This window comes from Homo sapiens, chromosome 7 (assembly GCF_000001405.40).
Source record: "Homo sapiens chromosome 7, GRCh38.p14 Primary Assembly".
NCBI lineage: Eukaryota > Metazoa > Chordata > Mammalia > Primates > Hominidae > Homo > Homo sapiens.
This window is the reverse complement of record NC_000007.14, coordinates 144312040-144337265: the sequence shown is the minus strand read 5'-3', so window position 1 is coordinate 144337265 and position 25226 is coordinate 144312040. Positions and strand designations below refer to the sequence as shown.

At 40.4% G+C, this 25226-nt stretch overlaps 1 protein-coding gene and 1 long non-coding RNA gene across 3 annotated transcripts in view; one reads left to right on the top strand and one right to left on the bottom strand.

Moving 5' to 3' along the window:
- The window catches only part of OR2A1-AS1 (OR2A1 antisense RNA 1), a 117146-nt gene that overhangs the window by 18453 nt on the left and 73467 nt on the right, over positions 1–25226 (top strand). The window lies entirely within an intron of this gene.
- OR2A1 (olfactory receptor family 2 subfamily A member 1) lies at positions 14529–25187 on the bottom strand. Of its 2 annotated transcripts, none has more exons than XM_047420323.1 (2): positions 24856–25187; positions 14529–19145 (listed from the first exon to the last, which is right to left on the bottom strand). In XM_047420323.1, the coding sequence occupies exon 2, from the start codon at positions 19139–19141 to the stop codon at positions 18209–18211; it is 933 nt and encodes a 310-aa protein (XP_047276279.1). In that variant the 5' UTR covers positions 19142–19145; positions 24856–25187; the 3' UTR covers positions 14529–18208. The 2 variants fall into 2 exon arrangements, with proteins under 2 accessions (XP_047276279.1, NP_001005287.1); NM_001005287.2 differs by lacking the exon at positions 24856–25187 and adding an exon at positions 24719–24847.

Here is a 25226-nt window from a genome sequence, read left to right as displayed (position 1 = left end):
GAGGTAATTGAATCTGAAATGCTCTTCCTATCTTTCTATGCTTATTTATCAGTCCTCTGCTAATTCTTTTCAATGATTGATTCAATGATGAATTCCCATGCTATTCTCATGATAGTGAATTAAGTCTCACGAGATCTGATGGGTTTATCAGGGGTTTGCACCTTTACTTCTCTCTCGTTTTCTCTTGCCACTGCCATGTAAGAAGTGCCTTTTGCCTCCCACCATGATTCTGAGGCCTCCCCAGCCATGTGCAACTGTAAGTCCAGTTAAACCTCTTTTTCTTCCCAGTCTTGGATATGTCTTTATCAGCAGTATGAAAACTGACTAATACAGTAAATTGGTACCAGTGGAGTGGGGCGCTGCTGAAAAGATACCTGAAAATGTGGAAGCGACTTTGGAACTGGGTAACAGGCAGAGGTTGAAACAGTTTGGAGGGCTCAGAAGAAGACAAGAAAATGTGGGAAAGTTTGGAGCTTCCTAAAGACTTGTTGAATGGCTTTGACAAAAATGCGGATACTGCTATGGACAATAAGGTCCAGGCTGAGGTGGTCTCAGATGGAGATGAGGAACTTGTAGGGAACTGGAGCAAAGATGACTGTTGTTATGTTTTAGCAAAGAGACTGGTGGCATTTTGCCCCTACCACAGAGATTTGTGGAACTTTGATCTTGAGAGAGATGATTTAGGGTATCTGGCTGAAGAAATTTCTAAGCAGCAAAGCATTCAAGAGGTGATTTGGGTGCTGTTAAAAGCATTTCATTTTAAAAGGGAAACAGCATAAAAATTTGGAAAATTTGCAGCCAGTTGATGCAGCAGAAGAGAGAAACCTGTTTTTTGAGGAGAAATTCAAGCTGGCTGCAGAAATTTGCATAAGTTACAGGGAGCTGAATGTTAATCTCCAAGACAATGGGGAAAATGTCTCCAGGGCATGTCACAGGTCTTCATGGCAGCCCCTCCCATCACAGACCCTGAAGACTAGGAGGAAAAAATGGTTTTGTGGGCCAGGCCCAGGGTCCCCATGCTGTGTGCAGCCTAGGGACTTGGTGCCCTGCATCCCAGCTGCTCCAGCCATTGCTAAAAGGGCCGAGGTACAGCTCTGCCCGTGGTTTCAGAGGGTGCAAGCCCCAAACCTTGGCAGCTTCCATGTGGTGTTGAGCCTGCAGGTGCATGGAAGTCAAGAATTGAGGTTTGGGAACCTCCATCTAGATTTCAGAAGATGTATGGAATCACCTGGATGCTCAGGCAAAAGTTTGCTCCAGGGGCAGAGCCTTCATGGAGAACCTCTGCTAGGGCAGTGTGAAGGGAAATGTGGGGTTGGAGCCCCCACACAGAATCCCTACTGGGGCACCACCTAGTGGAGCTGTGCAAAGAAGGCCACCGTCCTTCAGACCCCAGAATGGTAGATCCACCGACAGCTTGTACCGTGCACCTGGAAAAGCCACAGACCCTAAACGCCAGCCCGTGAAAGCAGCCAGGAGTGGGGACTATACCCTGTGAAGCCACAGGGGCAGAGCTGCCCAAGACTAAGGGAACCTACCTCTTGCATCATTGTGACCTGGATGTGAGACATGGAGTCAGAGGAGATCATTTTGGAACGTTATAATTGGACTGCCTCGCTGGATTTTGGACTTGCATGGGGCTTGTAACGCCTTTGTTGTGGGCACTTTCTCCCATTTGGAATGGCTGTATTTACCCATTACCTGTATCCCCATTGTATGTAGGAAGTAACTAGCTTGCTTTTGATTTTACAGGATCATGGGTAGAAGGGACTTGCCTTGTTTCAGATGAGACTTTGGACTACGGACTTTTGGGTTAATGCTGAGATGAGTTAAGACTTTGGGGGACTGTTTGGAAGGCATGATTGGTTTTGAAATGTGAGAACATGAGATTTGGAGGGGCCAGGGGCAGAATGATATGGTTTGGCTGTGCCCCCACCCAAATCTCAACTTGAATTGTTATCTCCCAGAATTCCCAGGTGTTGTGGGAGGGACCCAGGGGGAGGTAATTGAATCATGGGGGCCGGTCTTTCCCATGCTATTTTTGTGATAGTGAATAAGTCTCAGGAGATCTGATGGGTTTATCAGGAGTTTCTGCTTTTGTTTCTCTCTCATTGTCTCTTGCCGCTGCCATATAAGAAGTACCTTTTGCCTCCCACTGTGATTCTGAGGCCTCCCCAGCCATGTGCAACTGTAAGTCCAATGAAACCTCTTTTTCTCCTCAGTTTTGGGTATGTCTTTATCAGCAGCGTGAAAATGGACTAATACGATCACCCTCTTCTTTGTTCTCCTTTCTATTTCATCGCTAATTTTTTTTGGCATTTGGAGGGTGCTATACATTGCAAAAGTTGGGGACTCACTAATTCCACTGCTCACTGTATATCAAGGTAATCTGTCAGGGGTTTGGTTTTATATAAGAAACAAATGAGTCCCCAGAACATACAAGTTAAGATTATTCAATCAAGGGAGGCAGTCATTACCCTTTAACCTCTGAAAGAAAACTGCAAGTAGGCATCAAACTAACCCTGAGATGGGAGAGAGTAGAAGTTCCCACACCCAGTGAATTGTAGGACATTAGGTAATTATTGGTGGGAAGTAAATTTGAGTGGGGAACTGAATTTCAACTGACTTTTATCCTTGAAGATGGTGCTTCTATTTTCTCAAATTAGAAGGTTATGAAAATTGCATCTGAACAACAAGTTGTATTAGCATAAGTTCTAGAAGAAACTGAGAAAGCAAGGCTAGTCTGAGGAAAATTTATACCGCTCACATTTCCCTTCTGAATTGGAGAATAGAATTGAATAGCAAAATTGTAACCTACCTTTCAAAGATGCATTTTATAGTGAAGTATATTTTGTGAACTTTTATATCTTCTATTCTTATTTTTCTATTGCCCTATTTTAAAATCTATCTTGAATTTATTAAATGTATATGTCTCTGTTTATATATTTATGAGTAATATGGTAGTCTTTTTGGTATCAGATGAGAACCCAACACACACAAATACATACTGACACATACAAAGATGTTTATACTGCCTCTTACATCTGTCGGAAGAGAGAGGGTTCCAAGAATTCCTGTGATGAGGGCTTAAAGCCAAATATTTTTGTTATCATTTTATACATATATATTTTATTTTTTTTCTATTTGGGAGAAGCTAGAAAACACACATTACTTTTTTTTGTATCTTTTCTGTTTTAGACTAAAATCTGCTGCTATTCAAAGAATAAATTGTATCTTTGTGTATTCTGATAGACATAATAAGTAAGTTGTGTAAGTTATAAGTATGTATAAGTAAGTTGTATCTTTGTGTACTCTTCTTCTGATAGACATAATAATATAAGACAAACCCAATAACAGCATGCTGTTTATTTTGAACACAGAAATGTCTTTAGTTCAGCCTAACTCTGTCCTTCCTTTTTGCTGATAGAAAGTCTTCGGCCTCATCCCTCGTCTCACGTCCTTGATGCCTATTTCTTGAGGTGTTCCATCCACTGTCAAAGTCCCCAGTCAGTGATTGTTCTTAGGTATGAGTATTCTTTTCCATCCTAATCCATGTTATCCCACTTATCTTCCAAAAGGCATCCTCTACTCCTAGAGGAGCACAACAGGTTTCCTTCTCTACTCTTGATGGTGAGCCCAGAGTACCCTGTTGTCTCTGTGGCCCTAGGCTTCCACTTACCCTGCCCTTACCTCTGTGGCAGTGGAGAGGATATGGTAGCAAAAGAGAGCAGGAGTGATCCACCATGTCCAGTCATCCTAGGGGATTGGTTCCAAGGACCCTTCCCACCCCCTGCAGATACCAAAATCCCCAGATGCTCAAGTCTCTGACATAAAATGGCTTAGTCTTTGCCTATAACCTATGCACATCCTCCTGTACACTTTAAGACATCTCTAGATTAATAGCTAGTACAATGTAAATCCTATGAAAATAGTCGTTATACTGTGTTGTTTAGGGAACGATAACAAGAAAAAAAGTCTGTACATTTTCAGTACAGACACAACCATCCATTTTTTTTCCTGAATTTTTTGATCCATTGTTGGTTGAAGCTACGATGTGGAGCCTGTGGATAAGGAGGGCTGACTGTACAGCTATGTCACATTTTTGACTGCCAAGGCACAGAGGCACAGAATAAAATAGAGAAAAATGGAGACAAGAATAAAGATGAGACCGGTGTAGTGGCTCACGCCTGTAATCTCAGCACTTTGGGAGGTGGAGGCGGAAGGACTGCTTGAGCCCGGGAGTTCAAGACCAGCTTGGGAAACATAGTGGGACCCTATCTCTATTTAAAATTTTTTTTTTCTTTTTGAGACAGAGTCTCGCTCTGTCACCCAGGCTGGAGTGCAGTGGTGTGATCTCAGCACACTGCAACCTCCACCTCCCAGGTTCAAGCGATTCTCCTGTCGCAGCCTCCCGAGTAGCTGGGACTATAGATGCCCACCACCACTCCCGGCTAATTTTTGTGTTTTTAGTAGAGGTGGGGTTTCACCATGTTGGCCAGGCTGATCGCAAACTCCTGATCTCAAATGTTCCACCCACCTTGGCCTCCCAAAGTGCTGGGATTACAGGTATGAGCCATCACGCCTGGACAGAAAAAATTTTTTTAAAGAATAAAGATGAATAGGAAGGGAGGTGCCATTCACTTCAGCAGAGACATCCTTCTATTTCCCTTGTGATGCAAATATTCCCACCTCTATGACTCTGTCAGGAGAGGGATACTGAAGATGTTAAAGTCATTAAAACAAGATATTAAAAAAAATCAGAACAGTTTAATCCTGTCCTGGTAGAGATGATCAAACAACTCCAAAGAGGTGATGACTTAACATATTTCTAGGTCCAAGTAGTGGCCAACCGGGGCCAGCATCCTCCCAGTCACCCAGGCTGCCAACCAAGGTGGCTGAATACTTGCTTGAGATTGCCAGCATTTGTGATATCATCACTGTGCATAATTTCAAGGTAGGATCCTCATTGCTGTGGGCTATAAAATGGACTCTGCCCACCACACCCCCCCCGCCAACACTTGGCACACTTAGATGGAAATGGAAAAATGGTATTCTAAAACATTCTGTTGCATTATTATTTGTACCCCTAGGCAGGTGTGATTCATGTGGGACAGAGTGGCAAGGAAAGGCTCTATTGAAGGGGCGAGCCTTGAGCTGCCCCTGGGTGGAAGTGTGGGTGGCCATGGGAGCTGCATTTCCATGGTGGTGGGAGCTCTGGGCCACTCCTCAATCCCATGTCTGACACACACACACACACACACACACACACAAACAAACACACACACACCCACTCCTGATAGTAGGAAGAGCAGTATTTTGGACAAAGAGGAGGCTGAAGGCTGCATGACGCCTTGAGACATCAACTCAGGTATGTGTGGAGGTGGCGGAAAGTATTATTACCTGGAACAATCTTCACCCTTTAGGCCTAAATCAACCTCCACCTCCACCGGGACGTTTTTGCACAATGTGTTTCTTTGACAGACTCACCAGAGCGTATGCACATTTGGTTCTCCATTAGAAACATATTTTGTATTTCTAGTTCCTAAAGGAAATGTGAGTTTTGTACTTAGCAGAAGCTATAGCACCATCTTGTGGAAATAAATGCATTGGATCACAAGCTTGCTCTGAAAATTTTAGTCATCTTAAAAAAAAAAGTAAATCTTGATATGACTTCATAGCTCTAAATCACTCCTGGAATGCACCATCTATTAGTAGCAAAAGACTTCTCATATATTCTAATTGTATGAGGGTGGAGTTAGCATTCTCCACCAGCTGCAGCTTTCTTTCTGTTTTGCTTTCGAGGTAGGGTCTTACTCTGTCCCCCAGGCTGGAGTGCAGTGGTGTGATCATAGCTCAATACAGTCTCGAAGTCCCAGGCTCAAGCAATTCTCCTGCATCAGTCTCCCGAGTAGCATAGTGTGCCACTATACCCAGCTAATTTTTTGTAGAGATGGGGTCTCTCTATGCTGCCCAGGCTGGCACTGGCAACTTTCTTCTTTTTAGAATAATTACCGTACTTAGGATCCAATATTCTTCCCATCTCACTTGTTTTAGAATGTGTGTCCTCAGGTTTGGATTTTAATCATGTCCCAAGGGATCTTGCCTTCTAAATAAAGGAACACTCACTGGGTACCAATGTTCTTTTCTGTCTCCTCTGGTGAATCAGACACTTCTCTTCTTAATAGAGTTCATTGATAAAGGGCTTGGGAAAAGGAGGTCCCTTCATTATTGAGAATCTAAAGCATTGGATTGGGAGCCCACAGAAGAACTGGAACAGAGGCTGAGGCAGGAGGATCACTTGAGCCCAGGAGTTCGAGGTTGTAATGAACTGTAATCGCACCACTACACTCCAGCCTGGGTGACGGAGTGAGACCCCATCTCAAAAAAAAAAAAAAGTCCCTGGAAAAGGTTTTATTTAGAATCACGAAATCATTGAATCATTTAATAAATAATGAGTCTTTTTAATGTAAGTAGTATACCCTCCAGTGGAGGGGAAAAAATGCCCAATGTTCTCAACCTTTCTTATCCCTAGTTTGATCTGCATCAAACGTGGAATTGATGTAAAGCTTTGGGGCTTCACCAGGCTTCCCTCTGAACAGTCTCAGGCTTGATTAGAATTTAAGGCTGGTGTGAATTTTGCAAATTTTAAAGATCTATGTTTATCTTCAAGACATATTTTGAAAAAATTACACATTGACATCCTTCAAAAAAGCTAAAAGCACAGAAGTAAATGTCTGCCTCCACATGTTTCCCAGCTATCCAATTATCTTCTCTCAAGGCACCAATATTACAAGTTGTTTGTGAAATGCTTCCAAAAATATTTTGCACTTACAGGAAATATATTACATCAATGATAGTCCACAAAATATTTCAAAACTTGCATTTTTCATTTAAAAATATAGGTTGAAGATTGTTCTATATTAGCACATAGTTTCCTTATTTATTTTTCAGCTGTACAAGATTTTATTGAATGGGTGTAGTCTCCTGCTGAGGTTTTTCCCAGTAGTTTGGCAGTACAAACAATGCTGCAGTGAATAACCTTTACATCTGTTGCATAGCACACATGCTAGTCTACCTGTGGGCTATATTCCTGGAAGTAGAATTGCTGTGTCAAATGGTGCATTTGTAATTGTGGGAGACTTTGGCAAACTTTTCTCCATGCAGGTCATTTATACCAAATTACAGCAATGTATGACACTCCATGCCTCACTAACTGTATGTTTTTAAAACTTTTTTTTTTTCTGAGACAGGGTCTCACTCTGTTGCCCAGGCTGGAGTGCAATGGCGTGATTACAGCTCACTGCAGCTTCGACTTCCCAGGCTCAAGTAATCCTGCCACCTCAGCCTCCCACAGGAATGCACCACTATGCATGGCTGATTTTTTACTTTTTGTAGACAGAGTCTCCCTATGTTGCCCAAGGTAGTCTTGAACTCCTGGGCTCAAGTGATCCTCCCACCTCAGCCTCCCAAAGTGCTGATATTACAGGCATGAGCCACCACACCCAGCCTTTAAAACTTTTTGACTTTGCTAATGTAATAGGTGAAATATTATATTTCAGTGGTTACTGTTGTCATTTTTGCAGTGTTCCTTTTATGAATTTGGTTATAGGAACTCAAATTTTTCATGAGGCCTGGTCACCTAGTCAGTTATCTTTCTCCAGAGCTATTTTGGCAAATACATTGATTTTTTTAAAATTAAGTTTTATGAATAGATATAAATGACTCAGATTTCAATCAGCTTTCAAAAATATTTTTTTTGTATTCTCCCTTTCCTACTTGTCCCCAGTAGTGGATTTACCATGAAGCTAGCAAAGCTTAAGCTTAGAACCCCTTCCAAGAGTCCCTTCCAAAGCTCTGAACTAATTTTGTATTCATACATTCACATTCTGTTTCTTAAAGAAGCTGCCCCAAATTGTATAAGCTTCAGGCCTAGATATGCCGCTGCTTGTCACCGTCTTCCCTGTTTTCAACCTCTCTCTTCCTAGTTTCTTCTGTATTCCTCTAGAATGACTTTATGCATATGTAAGCACATCTAGATAGAGTTTATCCACCCCCTTCCTTTTTTCTTGCTTTTCTGAATGGGTCTTGGAGATTTTTCAATGTAAGATCTAGAGACCATCCATATTGTTTACTGTTGGTTGATAATTTTATGGTATTCCATTGTATGAAGATACTGGTCTTTACTTAATCAGTCCTGTATTGGTGGAACTTAGTGGACATTTGTTTTGTTTGTTTTTTGCATTAAGAAAAGCTCCTGGCAGGTTTCAGAGACTTAAATGACAGCTAAAAATCTGGTGGGATTACAGGTTTCAGAAGTGACAAGGTTTAAAATAGATGAAATTGTTGGGGGAGCCCTAGCCTCCCTTCCTGCACACCCTCTTCAGGTATCTAGGACTCGAAGTCTTATCAAAACAGGACACTTATTACCTGCTAGTCACAACCTATCTATATGAACATATACATTGGCGTGGGAAGTTTGTCTGTGATTGTGAAACAAGATTGTCTTGCTAAAGACATTCTGAATATGTGAAGGCAGGAGGGAGAGATAATTGTAAGGCTTTGAGTGCCTCTAAAATCCTACTGGATAGTTGTTGGCTTCAAAAAAAGGCAGATAGCTTCTGAGGTCATAGTATTCCATCAGTGGCATTGCTACAGCCTGCTAACTGACTTTCATTGCCCACACGCTAACATTTTGTTCTGCTGTATCTGATGGGGAAGGGTTGAGCCACGCAGGCATGGAGTGCTAGATGTCTTCTGCATGCCAGAAGAGTTCATTACTTAGTATTTTAACCCTTCATTTACCTGATTTTATTTATTTATTTATTTTTGAGACGGAATCTCCCTCTGCCACCCAGGCTGGAGTGCAATGGTGCAATCTCGGCTCACTGCAACCTCTGCCTCCCGAGTTCAAGTGATAATTCTGCCTCAGCCTCCCGAGTAGCTGGTTTTACAGGCATGCGCCATGACGCCCGGCTAATTTTTGTATTTTTAGTAGAGATGGGGTTTCACCATGTTGGCAAGGCTGGTCTCGAAGTCCTGCCCTCAAGTGATCCACCCGCCTTGGCCTCCCGAAGTGCTGGGATTGCAGGCATGAGCCACTGCACCTGGCCTTTCATCCACCTTAGTCATCACTTCCTTTCTTCTCTTCCAGTTCAATGCAAACACCATGGGAAACACATTTGGGATAGCTGGAAATTCAGCCTGTTTATTCTCTCTACCCCCTTAAAGCATGGAATGGCTGATCTCCTATCACAACCCACTTTTTGAGAAGAAAGGATCATACACCTGTCTGATTTGGTTACCTCAAATCCAGTCCTATTGCCCAGTATTACCTTTTGTTCATATGTCCTTGTTTGGCTCTTTCCTAGAACTGCCTTCCCTGGGACTAAATTGTAGTGGGTTTTAGTTTAAGATACCACATTAAATTTTTTAAAACACTTTTAATATTTGTGGGTACATAGTAGGTGTATATCCTTTACCTCTTTTATAAGGGATCAGGTAAATAATACATAGAGAAAGTAAGGAAGGAGAAAACAAAGGTGAGAGAAGAGAATAGATGGATCTCAATGCTTCATGATTAAGAATAACTTTTAGTACTTCTTTTCAGCTTACAAAGTGCTGTGTATATTACCTTTTGTGAAGCTCACATTTCCTTGAAATAAATGGGGTGGTGTCTTATCACCATTTTACAGACAGGGAAGGAAAATAAGGATAAGGCTGATCATGGCGCACCTGAATCCAGGTTTATAGGATTTCCCAACATCTTGAGACTTGATGGTTCAGGGTTGACTTTGTCTGGGTCCCTCAGAAGGTAATCAGGGCAGTAGCAGTTTCAGAATGTTTGTACTGAAATGGGGGCTAGGGGATTTGTCTTGAAGCTCTATTTGGATTGTATTTCAGATAAAATTGAAAAAAAATCTACTGTCTGATAAAATTGAAAAAAATTCAGGTAAAATTGAAATATTCAGATAAAATTGAAAAAAAATTCTATGGAGGTGCTGATGATGGAGATCTGTGGAGGAGTCCCAAGTCTCTTGGTCCCTCTACTTCTTTTGAGTTTTACTATTGTCCTGAAGAGGCAGAGAGCTAGAAACTCAGAACCTCTGATTCCCTGTGGCACAGGCTGCTAGATGTTTATCAGAATTGTTCCTCTTATGCCTGGGTATACAGACCACATTTCTCAGAATCACTTGCATTTTTTATTGCCATGGTGACCAAATCTTAGCCAATGGGATGTGAGCAGAAATAAAGAGTCCACTTTTGGGCCAGGTCACTGAAACTTTCATGCTTTGTCTCCCTCCAACACACATGACAATAATGGGAACCATGTGGAAATGAGGGCAGATCCATGAGGTGTAAGGACCCTGGGTCCCTGAATCACCAATTGATGGCGTGATGTCTGCTGGTCAGGAAAACCTCCTCTGAACAAGGAATGAACATTGGTTTACTGTAAAATTTTCAAATAATGCAATATTCTTTCCCATGGTTCAGTCTACATTTTGAGAGGTCTCTTCTTTAAGTCTTTAATGTGTATTATTTTAAACATTTTCCCATGCTTTAGTATATGTCTCTATATATATTCTCACACATACACATATCTATAGGTTTTTAAGTGAATGAGAAAGCACAGTATCAATATACTTTGTTTCCTCACTTCACATTTTGTGAAAATTTTGCTTATGGTAATATTAGTTTATATGTTAACTGTACATTAATATCTAATTAGATGTTAATATACTAGTAAAACTTATTTATATTAAGAGTTGCATATTTCATTGTATATATTTGCAATGTTTTATTTAATAACCTCACTATTGATATTAGGTTATTTATCAATTTACAAGTATTGCTTCTGCTTAAAATATATGTACATGTATATATTTATGCATATGGGAATATTTCTGTAGGATATGTTCTTAGAATTGAAATTGCTGCATCAAAAGGTATGCACATTTTATTTTTTGAGGCCAGGCACAGTGGCTCATGCCTGTAATCCCAGCACTTTGGGAGACTGAGGAGGGAGGATCACTTGAGCCCAGGAATTCAATACCAGCCTAAGCAATATAGACCCCATCTCTACCAACCAACAACAACAAAATTAGCCAGGCATGGTGGCTTGCACCTGTAGTTCCAGCTACTCTGGAGGCTGAGGTCGGAGGCTGTTTTCAGCTCAGGAGTCCGAGGCTGCAGTGAGCTGTGATTGCGTCACTGTACTCCAGCCTGGGCAACAGAGTGAAACCCTGTCTCTGAAAAATCAAAACAAAACTAACAATTTAGTTTTTGAAGAGACATGACCAAATTTCCCCGAAATCTATTAAGACTGTGGGGAAGTATCCACTTGCCTACATGCTTAGCGATGCTAGAAAGTATCCATCTTTTAATTTTTGTCCATCTAATGGGTGAAAAATGGTATCTTGTGCTTTAAAATTTATTACTTACTAGAGGAACTATACATCTTTCATTACATTTATTATTCTCTGTCACTTGTTCTACTGTAAATAGTTTATCTGTCTCTACTTGTATCTATGTGTTTTTTTCCAATAAAAAACTGGTTTGTGTATTACTATTTTGCTTGTTATATATATTGGGGACTACGTTAGCTATATTTTAATCATTTTCTTAAAGCTGATTTTCTTTTCTTTGTGTGTGGTAAAGATGGTGGACTTTTTAAACGTTTTATTTTTTTCTGCCGGCTGCAGTGGCTCATGCCTATAATCCCAGCACTTTGGGAGGCTGAGGCGGGTGGATCACCTGAGGTCAGGCATTCAACACCAGCCTGGACAACATGGTGAAACCCTGTCTCTATTAAAAATGCAAAAAATTAGGCAGGCATGGTGGTGGCCGCCTGTAATTCCAGCTACTCAGGAGCCTGAGGCAGGAGAAGCCCTTGAATCGGGAGGTGGATGTTGCAGTGAGCTGAGATTGTGCCATTGCACTCCAGCCTGGGCGACAAGAGCAAAACTCCATCTCAAAAATAAATAAATAAATAAATAAAATTAAGTAAAATAAGTGTTTTATTTTTTAATTGACAAAATTGTATAGATTTACCATGTAGAAAATGATATTTTGAAATGTATGTACATTGTGGAATGACTAAATTGGGCAAATTACCATATGAATTATCTAACACCCTTGTCATTTTTATGGTGAGAACACTTAAAATCTACTCTGTCAACATTTTTCACAATACAATCTATTGTTATTAGCTATCATCACCAAGTTGTACAATAGATCTCAAGGCTGATTTTCTTGATCCTTACTTAACTGTTCACAGAAAAAGATTCTGTAAGTCCAGGATAGAGGGAGGCCATATGACCCAGTGGTTATGGAGTCAGGCTCACCTGGATTAGAGTCCAAGTTATGTCAGATACTTGCTGTGTGACCATAGAAAAGTTTCTTACTATCTCTGAACCTCTATCTCTTCTTTTGTAATAATAATAATAAAGGTACTAGAATTGTTATGAAGTTGAGACATGATAATGATGCATGTACCTTAGCACAATGCCTGACATTTCATAAGCTCTCAGCAAATACTAGCTCTTAAAAGTATATCTACAATGTGGGTAATATGGGTACAAAACTAGATATTTATGTTTTAGTCTAGTTCCTAGAACCATTCCCAATCAAAGTTATTCCTAGTAATATTCTTTCCTTAAGGTGGGTATTTCGTGTTACCTTTTAGCCAGTCTTATGAAATTTCTATTTCCCAGAGCACTAAAATAGTCAACTAATTAATTACTTCAGTATGTACTATTTTTTTTCCTTTTTTGAAACAGAGTCTCCCTCTGTCACCCAGGCTGGAGTGCAGTGGCATGATCCTGGCTCACTGCAACCTCTGCCTTGCAGGATCAAGCGATTCTTGTGCCCCAGCCTCCCAAGTAGCTGGAATTACAGGCGCATGCCACCATGCCTGGCTGGTTTTTGTATTTTTAGTAGAGAAAAGGTTCATCATATTCGCCAGGCTGGTCTCAAACTCCTGGCCTCAAGTGATCCTCCTGCCTCGGCCTCCCAAAGTGCTAGGATTACAGGCATGAGCCATCGTGCCTGGCCAGTACGTATTTTTGGGGTTCTACTGTATTTAAGGTCAGAGAGATTCAGTTAGCCTCAGAAGTCCATTTCATTTTCTCTGTATGGAATTTATTTTATACTCCTTTGACAAAAGTGAAAATCCAAATTAATATGAAATGTGAAGAAACTAATAAAGACAGGGAATTAGAAAACAAGAGGTGACCTTAAAGTTTTTCTAGTTCAATTCTTTATTTTATATGTGTGGAAATGGAAGTCCAGAGGAGTTAAGCAACTTTTCTGAGGTCACACAGTGTGTAAGTGAGGGAATTGTCGTGACAGCCCAGACATTCTCATGCTGAGGCAGTATTCTGTTGACCAAATCATACCGTGTTCAAGGATTCACTTCTTCTTTTGGCACAACATGATTTCAAAAATTAAAAACAGAGAAACACAGCTTGGAAAAACACAGATAAAAATGAGCCAATGCTATTTAAAATTTATGAAGAAAGCAAGGGATGTAAGACACTTCTCTGCTGGCTGCGAAAACATGAGAGCTGTGAAGTCCAGTGAGACAGCATTCCAAATGTCTTTCCTTTTTGTCTATTCTCAAGAACCTGTATTTAACAATGGTACTCTACACTCACAGCCAACAGTAAACACCAGTCCTACAGGTCGGCAGTTGGCAATCCCTGGTCCACGTGCCAAAGATGCTGCAGGTGCCAATCTCAGGCGGCAAGGAAACTGACTACAACACACAAATTCCCATCCCTTTCATTCCCAGTAGTTATTGCCTACAGTTGTCTCCACCCTCTTGCCAGAGTTTTCAAGATCAACACCCTGACATGACTTCCTGTGTAGCACCAGTACCATCCTGGCCTTCTGGAATCACAGTTTCAGTCATTTGGCACACTTCTGTGAGAAGGCAATCGCCATGGACTCCTACGATAAAACATAAATAAGTATTCCCAGCATTTTTAATAGTAAATGCTAAATTTCAACCCTAAATTGTTTCTTTTCTTCTCTGTGATCCTAGAGCGATAGGATATTCTCGATTATTAATATCTACTGCATAAGAATATGCCAAAAGGATGAATTGGACAAACCAAATGCACAAGATATCCAAACTTAAAAGAATAGGCCAGGCACGGTGGCTCGCGCCTGTGTTCCCAGCACTTTGGGAGGCCGAGGCGGGTGGATCACCTGAGGTCAGGAGTTCGAGACCAGCCTGGCCAACATGGGGAAACCCCCTCTCTACTAAAAATACAAAATTAGCCAGGCATGGTGGCCCACGCCTGTAGTCCCAGCTACTCAGGAGGCTGAGGCAGGGGAATCACTTAAACCTGGGAGACAGAAGTTGCAGTGAGCCAACAACTGCACTCCAGACTGGGCAACAGAAGAAGACTCCTTCTCAAATAAATAAATAAGTAAATAAATAAATAAATAAATAAATAAATAAAAAGAATAAAGGGTAACACATCCCTAGGCCTATATGATGTGAGTAGAAATTTGAACACAACCACTCATTTGTTCATTTAGTCAAAGTTTATTGTGTGTCTACTATGAACAGGCCTGTTGCCAACCATTCAGGAGATGAATATCAGGAGGTCCTCTGCAAGAGAGTGGCTCAGAATTTATTTACAGTCAGACTGCCTGGTCTTGATTCATGTTTCTACCACTGAATGATTTGGCGACCTTGAATAAATTAATTAATTACACTAAACTTTATTTCCCCCCCTTTAATGTTAGGATAGTATTAGTACCTACTCCACATATTTGATGTAAGAATTTTTCTAAAGCATTTTATGCAGTGCCAACCACATAGTAAGTGCTCAATAATTATCAGCTACAATTAAATTTCTACTGTAGTATAACCTAAAATTAGAGGGATTTAAAGAAGTTTAGAAATCAGAAGATGGCTCAACACTGAAAATTTGGAAATGGGGTCAACAGATAAAGTGTCCTCTATGTATTCCGTATGTTTTTTGTGAGTACTCACTCTGTGCTAGGAATGTATAGGTGTAAAGAGATGAACCAGTGCTTGTCCTTCCCTTTGTGAAGCAATGAATGAAACATAATTGAGACATGCACTGTAAATCCCAGGTTGAGGATTACAAAAAGTTGGAAACCAAAACCAAAATCTGAATTCCTTGACCTTGGGAGAAGTCTCCTGTTTTTTCCAAGTGAACGGGCTAGGACCAGATTCAGAGACAGGCTCCCCGGGAGCCTTTGCCAGCTGACTCACAGAGGTTCCCTGAGTCTGGGCCACAGCTCATGCTCCTGGTCCAGCTATGCCCTCCAAGAGTGAGTGGCCTCCTGTGCCTCTAGGGGGGACAAGGGGAAGCCATGAGGGCAAAGGCGTAGGTGACCTACCAGCACCAATGCTCTTCCTGTTTAAAGAGCAATTTTGGTTCCAGATCAGAAAGTTTAGCAACCCTGACAGGATTAAAATAACTTCTGACAGCAGGGTAATCATAACAGTTTATCTTATGTTCACATAGCACTTTTAAGTCTTCAGAAAAAAAATGTGTCCATTTGCATCTTGCTTTGGGTTTTCAGTGGCACTCTGTGGTGTCCTAAACAGCTTCCATATGCATAATTTTCAGATGAAGGACTGAAGCTTAAGCAGTTTAAGGGACTTCTCTGCAAAAAACACAGCTAGCAAATGGTACATCTGGAACTAGAACCAGGGCCTCCGGTACGCACCTTGTGTATTTAAGGGGTAGGCAGCATCGTGGGCTTCTTGGATGCCTGGGCCAATCCTAAGAGAGGACTGCACACACAGAATTTAGGGTCCACACAGGCAACCGCCTGAGCATGGTTTCTGCACACCATGATTTCCTGCTGCTCCTCTGGTACCAGGGGAGTATTCATCCCTTGAAACCTACCCCTGGTATTAGAGCTCCTCACCTTTGTCCTGCCACTTGAATGTATCCCTTCCCAGTGTTAGTTGCAATGCAGTATGCAGCATCTGCCGTGAAACTAAACAACCGTTTAAAAACTGTTCGGCAGCAATGGAATTACAAATTGTATATCCAGTTTGGGTAATTTTAAAAAATTTAATAAATTATTTCATTTTTATTATTGTTGGACACAAGGTCTCACTCTGTCACCCAGGCTGGAATGCAGTGGTGCGATCATGGCTCACTGCAGCCTCAAAATCCCTGGCTCAAGTGATCCTCTTGCCTCAGCCTCCCGAATAGCTGGGGATATAGGCACACGTTGCCATGCCCGGCTAGATAATTTACAAAAACACTTTCTAATGTTCTTCAATTGATGAACCATCAACTTAAAAGTTTTATCCATTGTTTTTGGTTTCACCATCCTGCCCGTCAAGAGGCTCCTCCTCCGTCTCTGACCCTTGGAGTCACAGTTCCTTCTTGCTACCACCTCATCTCATTTCACGCACCAGTATAAAAAAAGCTGTTTTTTGTTTGTTTGTTTGTTTGTTTGTTTGTTTTTCCCCCAGCTTTAAGTACTTTTCTGTCTGGAGCCCAATGCCTATCTTTGGCTAGAGATTGAAAATTGCTTTTCATCTCTCCTCCTCTTCATCTTTGGAAATTTCATGATCTCTTTGATTTTTATATAATGGTTACGATTATGGGTTCAGCAGTCATATTGCCTAAGTTTGATTCTGGACTAGGTACTTATTAGCTGGGAGCATTGGTTAAATTATATAATCTCTCTATAGTTCTGTTTTCTCGCCTAAAAATAGTAGTAATAGTCTCTACCTCATAGGGTTTTTATGAGGACTTAAAGAGCTCTTACTTGTAAGGTTCTTGGAATAGTGCTTCACTAAGCACTGTGCGTATATGTGTGTGTGTGTGTGTGTGTGTGCACACGCATGTACGTGAGCATGTGAGTGTTGTATGTGAACTAGAGATGTCTTTGTTCTGGATCTTACCACCCAGAACCAAGTATAGTTCTAAACTTACTCTCTAATCTCATTGAGAACAGCCTCTACTCCCACCCTGTCTGTGTTCTGTGTTCCTCTGAATCTCTTAACCTCCTTTGCAGCCATGCCCACAGGACTCGTCAAACAGGATAAGAAGCCTTCCATAAATAATCTCTGACTCTCCTGGCCTCATCATGGCACATTCTAGATGGGGAAGAAACCCACATTCACTTAACATATCCTACGTTAGGATTGGTTAGACTTATTCTTAATTTGAAATGTTGCTAATAAAGTCCCACATTGTCCTGGTTAAGTAAAGAAGGCTTGGGAGCCAGATTGTTTGGGTATGAGTCTAACATTTACCATCTGCTTGAAGTTCACATCTATAAAATGGGATAATAATGGGAAATGAATTGGCTATAATGATAAACTGAGGTTATCTCTATAAAGTACCTATCAATGTGCAGTGGATGGTGCAGAGTAATTTATAATAATGCTAACTATTAACATTATTATTAAAACGCTTTTTTCCATTGAATTGTCTCTGTGTGGGGCTTTCCATTCGTCCCCAGCAGTGAAAAGTTGTGTGGTGGTACTAACTTCCTCTAAGTGAAGAGCATGTGCTTATTTAGAGACAATCATAGACAGTCCCCTGGAGGAGGTGAGAAGAGTAGAAACAAGTGACCATCACAGTCTCAGGGCAGGTTGGAAAGTGGATTTTGTTGTGTAATTGCTTCAGATTGCCAGCTGAATGTTTATGGATTCACTCTCTCTGACAACAGAAATTGTCAGTTTGTAGGATTTTATAAAAATCAATTTCCCTCCAAGCTGAAGTAGGCACTTAGGTACATTTACTGCTTATAAGAAAGGAAGTACAATTGAGGGGAAACATCCAAATGAGGATGAAAATGGACAGAGGTATCAATGGGTTCTGGAGTCTCTGCCTGTGGCTGTATTTTTAAAAACTTTTTATAGATATGACTTTATCTGGTAATAACTGCTATTCCTCTACTACTGAGCATACCTGACTAAGTCACAGGTGGAGTGTCTGTTTTAAACTTCTGGACTCATAGCAGTGTACAAAATAAATCTTTCCCCGACATTCTCAACTCAATAAGTGCTTAAATTAAAAAATGTTAAGTATAACAAATGCATCAAAAACTAAATACTTCCCAGGCAGGAAAAAGGAATGCTTTGCAGAGTCTCTTGGTTCATTCAGTCTCAGATATAAAGAGAGTAGTGAACTTAGGTGGTATTTGGTACCAAGATTCCAGGAGATGACTGAGGAGGGAGAGTCAAATGTCACACCAGTTAGGAATGACTTTCCTTGCCCAGTGCTCTCCTCAGGGCACCCTTGACCTCTCCGTTCCTCAGGCTGTAAATCAGGGGGTTAAGTGTTGGGTTGAAAAAACTGTAAAATAGAAAAAAGACCTTTTGCTGCTCCTCAGGATGGCGGGACTTGGGGGCCATGTACATGATGATGGCACTGCCAAAGAAGAGTCCCACCACGCAGAGGTGGGAGGAGCAGGTGGAGAAGGCCTTTCTGCGGCCCTCCCCAGACTGGATCCTCAGGATGGCCGCCAGGATGTGCGAGTAGGAGACAAGCACCAGGCTGGGTGGCCCCACCAGGAAGAACACGCAGGCTGCAAAGATGACCACCTGGTTGAGCCAGGTGTCAGCACAGGCCAGCCTGAGGACAGACAGGATTTCACAGAAGAAGTGGTTGATTTCATGAGGCCCAGAGAAGGGCAGTCTTAGGATGAGAACCACATGGGCCAGAGCCAGGAGGGAGCCACACGTCCAGGAAGTGACGGCCAGGGTGATGCAGACTCTCCAGGTCATGATGACGGAGTATCGGAGAGGGTGGCAGATGGCCACGTAACGATCGTAGGACATCAGCACCAGCAGGAGACATTCGCTGTGTCCAAAACTCAAACAGAGAAAGGTCTGCGTCATGCAGCCAGCAAAGGAGATGGGCTTGGCTGGATGCAGGAGGTTCGCCAGCATCTGGGGCACCGTGTTGCGGGTGTAGGCGATGTCGACGACAGCCAGGTGTGAGAGGAAGAAGTACATGGGGGTGTGGAGTCTGGAGTCCAGTGAGATGAGCCCCAGGATGGCCCCGTTCCCCAGCAGGGTGAAGATATAGAACAGGGAGAAGAGCCCAAAGAGGAGCATCTGAATCCTTGGGCCCAGGAGAAATCCCAGTAGGAGGAACTCTGTGACCATTGTCTGATTTTCCCCCATTTCCCTGTGAAAAAGAAAAAGATCACTTAGGACCAGATTGTCAAAAAACACCTAGACATTATTTTATGAATTTAGTCATTTTTAAAAGATAAACTTTTAACATTAGTGATTGAGCTACACATTAAGTTAATTACTGATTGTAAGTATCCAGTGTTATAGAAGGGATTGTGTCACCAGTGATAGGATACATAGAGCCATTGACACATCATGGGAAGAAAGAATGTCGTACCAAAAGTGGAAGTAAAATGACCATCTAATAAGGATTGTCTTGAAGCTGCACATATAAAAATTACTAAGAGAATTCCTGAAGTGTAGAAATAATCAGTAATGGAAGAACTCCAAATATGGGAATTAGAGTAGTCCTAGAAAAAAAGATGATGTAATCCCAGTTTCTCAGTAGAAATATCAACTATTTTGCTTTCAACATCTGAAATCAACCTTTGCACTCTGGAGCAGTTTATATAATAACAGAAGAAGTAGAAAGACAAAAAACAATTTTAATGACATTGTGATTGTTTGGGTTCCTGAGAAGGAACTAATGGATGTGCTACAAATGGGTTCTAATTGCAATCTTTATTTTACAATGGGTCATAAATAGGAACCGATAATTGGTGATTTGGCAGTTAATCTACTGATTGATGCACAGTTACTGATTTACCAAAAACTGGTTTTGAATAACAACTCACACAATTTGTAGAAATTAGATTTTTCTGGGCGAGTTTGTACATACGTATCATTTAAAACATTCACAATGCCTGAATGTTATGTTTGCCACTGCGTTATATATCATTTCTTTTCTAGTCTCTCCTTTCACTTTTGCCAACCCTTTGGTAAATTTAATCCATTTGTGTTTAAGTAAGATGTTCTTTTTACATGTAGAATGAAAGAAACTATGGAGAAAAAATTTAAATGAAGTATCTTTCAAAAACACCAGAAATGACCATTCATAAAAAATTAATTGTGCTTCAGCAACATAAGAATTGCTAAACACTTTACAGGTGGCTAATTAAAACTTTTTTTGCAAAGAGCTAATTTAGTGACTTCATTATTTTGCAGATTATTATAGCAATAAATTGTCAGGTAATTGGTATTTGTGAATTGGTGATGTGCCAAATAATATTTGGGTTTTTGTCCTTAAGTCCTAGATAACATTTTCCTCAATATACCATGTAGAAATCCAGTATTTTGCCAGTGCACATGTTTTTGTTAGTGCCTTTGCTAGGCAAAAATAACCTGCGGCTGAGCCGTTGAACCTGCTTATCTCTGAAGAAAAAGCTTCTCTGGATTAAGGAGAACTTCTCCAGATTAAGGAAATATGCTGCTTTTGATAAGACCCTGGTCCAGCTGTCATTGGAGCAAAGACATGGAACCACCCTAAATGTCCACCAACGATAGACTGGATAAAGAAAATGTGGTACATATACACCATGGAATACTATGCAGCCATAAAAAAAGAATGAGATCTTGTCCTTTGATGGACATGGATGGAGCTGGAGACCATTATCCTTAGCAAACTAATGCAGGAACAGAAAACCAAATACCGAATGTTCTCACATATAAGCAGGAGCTAAATGATGAGAACACATGGACACATAGAGGGGAACAACACAGTACTGGGGCCTATCACAGGGTAAAGGGTGGGAGGAGGAAGAGGATCACAAAAAATAACTAATGGGTACTAGGCTTAATATCTGGGTGATGAGATAATTTGTACAAAAAACCCTCAAGACACAAGTTTGTTTACCTATGTAACAAACCTGCATTTGTACCCCTGAACTTAAAAGTTAGAAAAGAAAAAGTTAAAAAACTAATCTAATTGGAGCCCTAAAGAACGTTCCCACTGGATCCTTTTCCAGTGGTAACAAATGATTGTATACTTATAAGCATTATCAATAAATTGTTGATTATTATCAGCAAGACACAAATAAATTCTAGTGAATATTGTAACTTCATAACACATGGCCAAGGGTTATATTTTTTTTTCAGGATTCTATTAAAAAAATACTCTCCTAGGCCAACCTTCTACATTTAATTGGAAAACACGCAAAGCATATGAAATATTTGGTTGTGAAATGCATTTGAATTTACACCTTATAAACATCTTTATTTATTTATTTATTTTTTTGAGACGGTTTCCCTGTGAAACCTGCCCTGGAATGCGGTGGTGTGATTACGGCTCACTGTAGTTTTGACATATCAGATTCAAGCGATCCTCCCCCTCAGCCTCCCAAGTAGCTGGGATTACAGGTGCATGCCACCATACCTAGCTAATTTTTTTAAATAAATATTTTTTGTACAGACAATGTATTATTATGTCACCCAGGCTGGTTTCAAACTTTTGGGTTCAAGTGCTCCTCCCACCTCGGCCTCCCAAAGTGCTGGGATTGTAGGCATGAACCGTGTACCCAGTCTACATCTTATAAAAAACTTAATTTCTTTATTTAGTCCTTCATTATTTCCTTTTGTAACTCCCCAAATGATTATACAAAGAAAAAAAATCCACTATGCACAAGTATGAATTTCTTTGAAAGCTAGATGGAGAGTCAAGAAGAAAGGAGAGCTTGGTGAAGACACTCAGATTCTTTAAGGACAGTTGCCACATGGGTTGAAACCCTGATTTCTTTTACAGGACTGGGTTGTTAACACACTCCTTGTGAACAAGGAAAAGGTGCTCTCACTTTTGTAATCCTGACAGTAAATACTTACTGTGTGGACAAATTAATGAATAAATACAAATGAATAAATGAATGAATGCATAGTTTTTTTAACCATCCTTTGACTGAATCTGGAATGTCTACTATAATCTGAATACTTGAAAGACACTTTTATTTTCTTTTTCTCCCCCATAGTTTCTTTCATTCTACATGATACAAAGAACATCTTACTTAACTCAATGGATTAAATTTACCAAAGGGTTGGCAAAAGTGAAAGGAGAGACTAAAAAAAAAAATTAAATATAACCCAGTTGCAAATGTAACATTCAGGCATTGTGTATACTTTCAGGGGTGTCCAATCTTTTGGCTTCCCTGGACCATGTTGAAAGAAGAAGAATTGTCTTGAGCCACACATAAAATCCACTAACACTAACGATGGCTAACGAACTTAAAAAAAAAATCACATAATATTTTAAGAAAATTTACATATTTGTGTTGGGCCACATTCAAAGCTGTCCTGGGCCACCTGCAATTTGGACAAGCTTGCTTTAAGTGATATATATGTACAAGTTAGCCATTTAAAAATTTGGCAAATTATTTGATGACTAATAAATTAACCAACGTTTCCATGGCTTCTAAGTAAATATGTAAGACTGAAATCATTTCTTTACACATGACGAAACCTGTCTACTTCAAAAGGTAAAACTTAAGATCTGATGAGCTGACAAACTCCTTTCTAATGAGTCACACAACATTCTTAAAATGAAAGCTATTTTTAAATCCTCAGGTCAAGTAAAGTATTAGATGATTTATTTCCAAGAATCAGAAATATTTGAGGCTGGATGCGGTGGCTCATGCCTGTAATCCCAGCACTTTGGGAGGCTGAGGCAGGAGGATTGCTTGACACCAGTAGTTTAATACCAGCCTGGGCAACATAGTGAAACCCTGTCTCAAAAAAACAAGTAAAACAGAAACAAAAAAAGTAGCTGGGCGTGGTGGCACATGCCTGTAGTTCTACCCGCTTGGGAGGCTGAGGCAGGAGGGTTGCTTGAGCCCAGCAGTTTGAGGTTGTGGTGAGCTATGATAGAACCATTGCACTTCAGCCTGGGCAATAGAGTGAGACCCTGTCTCAACAAAAAGAAAAGGAAAAAAAGAATATTTGTTAAAACTAATACACTCATAACACTCCTTTGTCTTTTTTTTTTTCTTTCTCTTTTTGAGGCAGGATCTCGTTCTGTCACTTAGGCTGGAGTGCAGTGGCGCAATCATAGTTCGTTGCAACCTCAACCTCCCTAGGCTCAGGTGATCCTCCCACCTAGCCTCCCCAGTAGCTGGGATTACACGTGTGCTCTACCATGTCTGGCTACCTTTTTTTAAAAACTTTTTTTTAGAGATAGGGTCTCACTGTGTTGTCCAGGCTGGTCTCAAACTACTGGCCTCAAGCAGTCCTTCTGCCTCAGCCTCCCAAAGTGCTGAGAATACAGACATGAGCCACTGCACCTGGCCTCAAATATTCTTATTACTCGGGAGTAAAGCATCTAATACTTTATTTGACCTGAGGATTTAAAAATAGCTTTTATTTAAAGAATATGATGTGACTCATTAGGAGTTTGTTGGCTCATCAGATCTTAAGTTTTACTTTTTGAAATAGACAGGTTTGGTCATCTGCAAAGAAATGATTTCAGTCTTACATATTTACTTAGAAATCATGGAGATGTTGGATAATTTATTAGTCATAAAATAATTTGCCAAATTTTTAAATGGCTAACTTGTACATATATATCATTTAAAACATACACAATGCCTGAACGTTATGTTTGCAACTGGGTTATATTTAATTTTATTTTTAGTATCTTCTTTCACTTTTTCCAATCCTTTGATGAATTTAATCCATTTGCATTTAAATGAGATTTTCTTTGTATCACATAGAATGAAAGAAACTATGGGGTGGGGGTGGGTGGAGAAATAGTAGTGTCTTTCAAGTATACCGATTATAGTAGGCAAGATTTAAGCAAGCCAGAAATTCCAGATTCAGTCCAAAGATGGTAAAAAAACAAACAACAACAAAAAAAACCAAAAAATGATATTTAGGCATTCATTCATTCATTTGATTTATTGATCTAGTAAGTGACTAAAAAGGTGAAATACATTTGACTATATATTGTGCCTGGAATATGGTAGGTATTCAATAATTATTTATTGACTAACTAGATATCAATTTGATTAAATATGAGAAAGCAAAACATTAATGAACTCTCCACATTCTTCTGCGGATCAGGTTCTCAGGCAGAGTAAACACTGAAAGAAACAAAAAAAGTAGCAATTAAAGAGCCATGGGCTTAGTGGTCAGATGCACATTTATTAGTTATATGACCTTGAGCACATATCTTAGCCTCTCCAAACTCGTTTCCTCTTTTTTAAAAAGGAGAAAAGTGATAGTACCTATTTTATGAGGTGGTTGTGAAGATTAATTGAGATGATCTGTGTTATACATTGAACACATTTCTGGTATGCAGTGAACACTTAATGGCTGAGATCAATTATTATCAGTCTTTAACAATTTCTTGAGTAGCCTGAAGATTGTATGAACCTGACAAGCATTGCCTCTTCAAGGTTCACAATAGTCCCTTAAAACCATGATCCTCTAAAGCTGATTTTGTAGTCTTGATTATGGCAGTGGAAGTCAACATGTTAATTTTATGGATGATGTATTCTTTATTTATTTAAATCTGGCATTGATGTTTATAGTTTTGTTGCTTTCATGCAGTTACTTCTCCATCATATAAAAAATTAGCTTAATTCTCTACATACATACATTATTTGTGATAATATGTTCAAAGAAGTTAGCATGAACTTTCCCTCAAACTATCCCCATTGCAGAAAGATAATCAGCACATAATTAGAGAGGAGTGAATTTCCTTACCAATGTTTGTAGTGGATGTGAAAGTTAACCAAGACCAGGAGCTACAACATGTCTAGGAGGAATTCATGGTAAAGTAAAAAGAGGCAGCCTGGTTAGCTCCCACATTTGGACTCAAGGATCTCAGAAGAGTGAAGCACCTGAAGGTTTCTGGGAGTTTCTGTGGGAGCTGCAGAATCTTTGCTTCTGTTTCTGATTGAAAATGTATCAGAATCCTCAGAAAAGGAGGTGTTATTCTCTGATGTGCTCAGCCTGGTTGACAGCTGAGTGATCACTGGAGGAGCTGGGCCATGAAACCTCCTGCATGCTCATCTCCTTGGGGAAGGAGAGACAGGACAATTGGTTTTTTCTATTTCTGTTCTTAACCCCAGCAGGATGCACAATTAACAAACACCGACAGCCACAGAGCACACCTCTGAGACAACATCTTTCATTATAGTCCCGGAATGCTTGGATTTCATGAATCCCAGCACTGCCCTTGTTCCCCATGCTTCAGATGGTTCAAGTGAAC

What these genes read in the sequence shown, in the direction of transcription:
- OR2A1 (XM_047420323.1), bottom strand. Translation starts at nt 19,141, where the DNA reads ATGGGGGAAAATCAGACAATGGTCACAGAGTTCCTCCTACTGGGATTT.